The following is a 6,969-nucleotide window of genomic DNA, read 5'->3' on the forward strand; positions in this document are numbered from 1 at the left end:
TAAGGAGGGGACCTAGAAATGGAAGAAGCCAGGGGAGAACACATTGTGAGAACCATGAGGTAGCTTCAGTTGTCCCACCGTGTAGTCTGCTGCCTCTATCCTGAAGTCGTTTAATTCCATCTCTGACTATGCATGATTTATTGACATAAAAACAACACTCCTCATTCAGAAAAAGGCATGTTCCTACCCTTTCAGCAGAGAGGAGATCTAGTGCTCACTGGTTCTGGAGAACCACAGCTGCTAATAGTCTATTCGGTCCCGGATTTGAGTAAGTTGGACAGAGATTTCATCTAGGCTTTCTCTTACTTATTTAGAGAGTGTCAAGGACACTGTGAGTCCAGCGGTTCCAGTTCGTAGGGTGGTAGTAAAACCTAAACCAGCCAATAGAGGAAGTAGTGAGATTGCTCTTGGCTGAAGCTTAGCATGAATGGGCATGGCTACTGCCTCTTCTGAAAAGGAGTAAGTCGAGGAGTTACAATGTAGGCTAAAGTACAAGTTCCCATCCAGTTGGTGGGGAAGCAAACATAGAAGGATTTCCACACACAAAGAAAACTCCTTGCCAGGATTCTACACACCCCGTAGCTGAAAATCTAATAAGGGCTGAGGTCAGTCTGCATTAGTTTCTCATTCTCATGATTTGAGGGTTTGGGACAAATGGCCACTCCTAGAGGTTGGAGCTGAATAGAATTTGACAAGGACATATTATGGGGTTCCTCTAAGGCAAACCAAGGGCTAGCTGCGTTAAGAAAAACTTCTGTTCCGGGGACAGGAAGAGAGAGCAATGGGGTTTTAACCCTTCACCTGTGAGAGAGGGAAAAAGTCCCCAGAGGGGAATAACCTGGGCAAAGGGAAGTCTGCCCCAGCAGTAATTGCTTGTTGTTTTGGCCTCTGCTGGGGGAATTATCTGGCTTGGGTTGTTAAATCTTAATGGATAGGTGACTGAAATGGGATCTCCAAGGAGATCTTGTTTATTTCCACCAAACGTGGGGGTGCCATTAATGGTACTGTAGGAATTAGAATATTTGGACTCTATATCCAAGGCAAGCATATAGTTGCAGCTAGCCACGTGTCCCACATCCTGTGATCCTGGAAACACTTGACAGAAGATACAAAGGAGTGGAGGTCAAAAGAAGGAGGTTACTGTGCCCACAGAACCTATGATTGTGTTGGTTGATATAGTGAATTGTCAGAGAATGGCAGCGGCTGCTTTTAAGACTGCTTGAGCCCTGTTGGGGAAATTGGACCTATCACTAGGATGAAAAAATCCTGGGCCCTTAGAAGTGTTAGCTATGAATAAGGCCAAAGAGGTTTCCACCCATATGTTAAGGGGTGGCTGGAACTGCTGTACATAAGGGGGAATTAAGGTTCATGCAAACCCATCAGGAAGACTTACTCTGGCTGGGATGTGCTTCAAATAAAAACTGGGAGGACATGTTTATAATTCCCTCAAGTTTAGGGGAAAAGGTAGAGTGGGAAAAGGTTAAGACTTAGGCAAAGGTAAGGAAAGTTAGGATGTTAGAGTACATTTTGTTTTTAAAACAAGAACTGAGGTAGAACTTATGAGCACTAATTACTTTCCTGTGGTTTTTCCTTCTGAAAGAAGATAGGTCTTCCAATGGCTTGCAGGTTTAAGAAGGTTTGTCTGACTGACTCTTAGATTCCCGGGCTGATGATTCCACAGGTTTTTCAGGTTGCCATCCAAGGTTTGATTTGGGTGTGATGGAACCAAGACTCTACTCCAACCACCTTGACTGCAGTTGGAGTGGAGAAGATAACTGAATACAGTCCTTCCCACGATGGATCCAGGGATGGGGAGGTAGAGGTGAGGGACTTGGCTAATACTAGATCCCCAGGATGGAACAATCCTTTTCCCTTTCTCAGTGGCATCCCTCAGGTAATGTATTAAGGATTTGTTGGTACCTAGCCAAAGAAGTTATGTCCTTGACTAAGTTGGTAGTTTCTTGATCAAGAAAGAGGTTGTTTTTGAGAAAAGGCTGTCCATATAGCATTTCATGAGGACTGAGTCTATCTTGTGGGGAGAATTTTGGACACTTAATAATGCTATGGATAAGATGGTAGGCCATGGGAGGTGAATTTCTTGTGTTAATTTCCTTAAGTGCCTTTTGAGTGTTTCATTCATCTTCTCGACTTTCCTTGAGGATTGTGGTCTCCAGGTGCAATGAAGGTGATATTGTAACCCTAGTACCTTGGAAATTCCCCAAGTCACTGTGGCTCTGAAAGCCGGGCCATTATCACTTTGTAAACTAAAGGGAAGTCCAAACCTAGGAATTATTTCATGAACCAGGGCTTTGATTACCTCCTGGGCCTTTTCTATTTAAAGGGTAAGGCTTCAACCCAATTTGTGAAGGTATCAACACAGACTAATAAGTATTGAAGTCCCCGTGACTTAGGCATACGAGTGAAATCTAACAGCCAGTCCTCTCCAGGGTAGTGCCCTGTCCTTTGTTCTCCCTGAGGGGCTTCATGATGAACCAAGAAGTTATTCCTTTGGCACACTTTGCAGGCCTTGACTATCTGCCAGACAGTTTTAAGGAGATCTCATCCAGTGAACAGAGATTTGGCCTTTTGACGGGTATTCTCAATACCCATATGGAATGTTTGATGAAGGGTTTTTAGTATTTTCCATTGATTAGCTGTGGGTATGAGCACCTTTCCCTTCTCAGTAGCTAGCCATCCCAAGGGGAGAAAATTATGTCCACATGAAAGTCCCCATTCTGTTTCTGCAGGGGATACTGGGGCCTGGCCTCCTGAAGGAGATTATCCCGTACCAAGGGTCCCTCCATAGGTGTTTCTAATGGGAGGTCCCGTCTTGTGGTGACTTTGGTCTCAGCTTCTGCCTGGCAATTTCCTTCTGCTTCCTTTTGATGGCCTTTTTGATGGGTTTTTGCACTGCCTGTAATAATTTCATACTTTCTTTATGGTATTTAATGGGTGTTACTCCAGAGGTTAGGAACTCCCTTTCTTTTCATATGGCAGCATGGGCATGTAGAACTAGATAAGCATATTTGCTGTCCATCTACACATTTATTCTTTTTCCCTTTCCTAGCTCTAAATCTCAGGTAAGTTCCACTAGTTCTGCTAACTGGGTGCTGGTCCCTGGGGGAAGGGGCTCACTTTCAAGTACTGCTTTATCACTAACTATGGCATATCCTGCCCTTCATAATCCCTTTTCTACAAATGAACTTCCTTCAGTATGTAGGTTGAGGTCAGGGTTCGTTAAGGGGACCTCTAGAAGATCCTCCTGGGCAGCATAAGTTTGGGCTATGACCTGTTGACCATCATGTTCTATTGGCCCTTCGTTTTCTGGGAGAAAAGTAGCTGGGTTAAGAGCTGCACAAGTGTGCATCTGAAGCACTGGTCCCTCAAGTAATAAGGCCTGGTACCTAAGTAGGCGATTGTCTGACAGCCGCAAACCTCCTTTAGCAGTTAGTATGCTGTTTACATCGTGAGTAGTCCATACAGTGAGGTCTCTCCCTTGTATTATTTTGATGACCTCTGATACTAAAATGGCCACCACAGCTACCACCCAGAGACAATGAGGCCAACCCTTTGTGACCACATCAATTTCTTTACTCAAATATGCTACTGGCTGTATGGTAGTCCCTCGAGTCTGGGTAAGGACTCCAATGGCTAGTCCCATCCTTTCTGTGACATATAAACAGAAATTTTGTCCCGTAGGTAGACTCAAAACTGGGACTTGTGTTAGGGCCTGTTCCAGGGTTCTGAAGGCTGCCTCTGCCTCTAGTCCCCATTCTATCAAATGGGTGTTAGCTTTTTGGGTTTCCTTAATTAGAGTGTAAAGTGGCCTGGCCATTTCACCATATCTGGGGATCCATAGTTGGCAAAAGCTGGTTATTCCAAGAAATGCTCATAACTGTTTTAATGTATTAGGGCAAGGATAAGCCAGTATAAGCTGGATAAATTCTTTGCTGAGAGCCCTGGTTCCTTTAGCCAAAACCAGCCCCAGGTATTTCACCTGCTATAAACAAAGTTGAGCCTTTGATTTAGATACTTTGTAACCTCGATCAGCTAGAAAGTTTAAAAGGTCTTGGGTATCCTGATGGCACAGGGTCTCTGAACAGGTAGCTAGAAGTAAGTCATCCACATATTGAAGAATTAGGGTACTTGGGTGCAAGAAGTGACTTAAATCTTGGGCCAATGCTTGGCCAAACAGGTGAGGCCTATCCTTAAATCCATGGGGCAAGACTGTTCAGGTAGGCTGAGATGTTTGATCTCAGGGATCCTCAAAGGCAAATAGAAATTGACAGTCATGGTGTAGAGGGATACAGAAAAGCATCTTTAAGATCCGTGACTGTAAACCACTCTGCTTCTTCTGGTATTTGAGAGAGTAATGTATAAGTGTTGGGTACAGTTGGGTATAAAGGAATTACAGCCTCATTAATGAGCCTGAGGTCCTGCACTAATCTCCATTGACCATTTGGTTTTTGTATCCCTAGAATTGAGATGTTACAGGGGCTGTTACAACACCTTACTAGGCCTTGTGCTTTTAAATGTTTAACAATACCTTGTAATCCCTTTTGAGCTTTGGGTCTTAGGGGGTATTGTCTTCAGTAAGGGAAAGAGATGAGGTCTTTTAGTTTGATTTGGACTGGACAGGCATTCTTTGCTCATTGAATTGTCCTTCTAATGCCCAAACCTCAGGGTTGATTTCTTTCTCAAGTAGGGGACAACAGATAGGTGTTTTGTTCCCTGTATTCCTACAGATGATAGCTCCTGCTTTGACTAATATGTCCCTCCCCAGTAAGGGTGTGGGATTCTCGGCCATGATGAGAAAGACATGCAAGAAAAGTAAGGTTTCCAAGTTACAGCTAAGGGAGGTGAGAGAAATACCTGGTTACAGGTTGTCTCAGGATCCCTTGGATGGTAACAGACCTTGAGAACAACCATCCAGGGCAGGAGAGTAGAACCGAGAAGGCCATGACAGTGTCCAGGAGAAAGTCAATTTCCTGGCCCTCAATGATCAGACTTACCCAGGTCTCTGTGAGGGTGATGACATCAGATGGCGCTTGCCCCAGGCACCCTCAGTCCTGTTGCTGGATCATCTGGTCATGAGCTTCTGGCCCAGAGAACCTTCACCCTCTGGGGCAGTGTTCCTTCAAGTGATCACCTTGACATAGCAGACATGGGCGAGGGGGTGGCTTATTTCTTGTTGGACAATCTTTTTTATTTATTTATTTTATTATTATTATACTCTAAGTTTTAGGGTACATGTGCACAATGTGCAGGTTTGTTACATATGTATACATGTGCCATGTTGGTGTGCTGCACCCATTGACTTGTCACTTAGCATTAGGTATATCACCTAATGCTAACCCTCCCCCCACCCCCCACCCCACAACAGTCCCCGGTGTGTGATGTTCCCCTTCCTGTGTCCATGTGTTCTCAGTGCTCAGTTCCCACCTATGAGTGAGAATATGTGGTGTCTGGTTTTTTGTCCTTGTGATAGTTTGCTGAGAATGATGGTTTCCAGCTTCATCCATGTCCCTACAAAGGACATGAACTCATCATTTTTTATGGTTGCATAGTATTCCATGGTGTATATGTGCCACATTTTCTTAATCCAGTCTATCATTGTTGGACATTTGGGTTGGTTCCAAGTCTTTGCTATTGTGAATACTGCCGCAATAAACATACATGTGCATGTGTCTTTGTAGCAGCATGATTTATAATCTTTTGGGTATATACCCAGTAATGGGATGGCTGGGTCAAATGGTATTTCTAGATCTAGATCCCTGAGGAATCACTACACTGACTTCCACAATGGTTGAACTAGTTTACCTTCCCACCAACAGTGCAAAAGTGTTCCTATTTCTCCACATCCTCTCCAGCACCTGTTGTTTCCTGACTTTTTAATGATTGCCATTCTAACTGGTGTGAGATGGTATCTCACTGTGGTTTTGATTTGCATTTCCCCGATGGCCAGTGATGGTGAGCATTTTTTCATGTGATTTTTGGCTGCATAAATGTCTTCTTTTGAGAAGTGTCTGTTCACGTCCTTCACCCACTTTTTGATGGGGTTGTTTGTTTTTTTCTTGTAAATTTGTTTGAGTTCATTGTAGATTCTGGATATTAGCCCTTTGTCAGATGAGTAGGTTGTGAAAATTTTCTCCCATTCTGTAGGTTGTCTTTTCACTCTGATGGTGGTTTCTTTTGCTGTGCAGAAGTTCTTTAGTTTAATTAGATCCCATTTGTCAATTTTGGCTTTTGTTGCCATTGCTTTTGGTGTTTTAGACAGGAAGTCTTTGCCCATGCCTATGTCCTGAATGGTATTGCCTAGGTTTTTTTCTAAGTTTTTATGGTTTTAGGTCTAACATGTAAGTCTTTAATCCATCTTGTATTAATTTTTGTATAAGGTGTAAGGAAGGGATCCAGTTTCAGCTTTCTACATATGGCTAGCCAGTTTTCCCAGCACCATTTATTAAATAGGGAATCCTTTCCCCATTGCTTGTTTTTCTCAGGTTTGTAAAGATCAGATAGTTGTAGATATGTGGCATTATTTCTGAGGCCTCTGTTCTGTTCCATTGGTCTATATCTCTGTTTTGGTACCAGTACCATGCTGTTTTGGTTACTGTAGCCTTGTAGTATAGTTTGAAGTCAGGCACCATGATGCCTCCAGCTTTGTTCTTCTGGCTTAGTATTGAGTTGGTGAAACAGGCTCTTTTTTGGTTCCATATGAACTTTAAAGTAGTTTTTTCCAATTCTGTGAAGAAAGTCATTGGTAGCTTGATGGGGATGGCATTGAATCTGTAAATTACCTTGGGCAGTATGGCCATTTTCATGATATTGATTCTTCCTACCCATGAGCATGGAATGTTCTTACATTTGCTTGTATCCTCTTTTATTTCACTGAGCAGTGGTTTGTAGTTCTCCTTGAGGAGGTCCTTTACATGCTTTGTAAGTTGGATTCCTAGGTATTTTATTCTCTTT

The 6,969-nt window shown here is 43.2% G+C and overlaps 1 annotated feature.

Annotated features, from left to right (window-relative positions):
- Positions 380 to 459: a silencer, noted in NCBI's record as "silent region_16006". NCBI's record gives its function as "represses an Ori minimal core promoter by ATAC-STARR-seq in GM12878 lymphoblastoid cells {active_cell/tissue: GM12878}" and the evidence as "EXISTENCE:reporter gene assay evidence [ECO:0000049][PMID:35858748]".

Source organism: Homo sapiens, chromosome 5 (assembly GCF_000001405.40).
Source record: "Homo sapiens chromosome 5, GRCh38.p14 Primary Assembly".
NCBI classification, from domain to species: domain Eukaryota; kingdom Metazoa; phylum Chordata; class Mammalia; order Primates; family Hominidae; genus Homo; species Homo sapiens.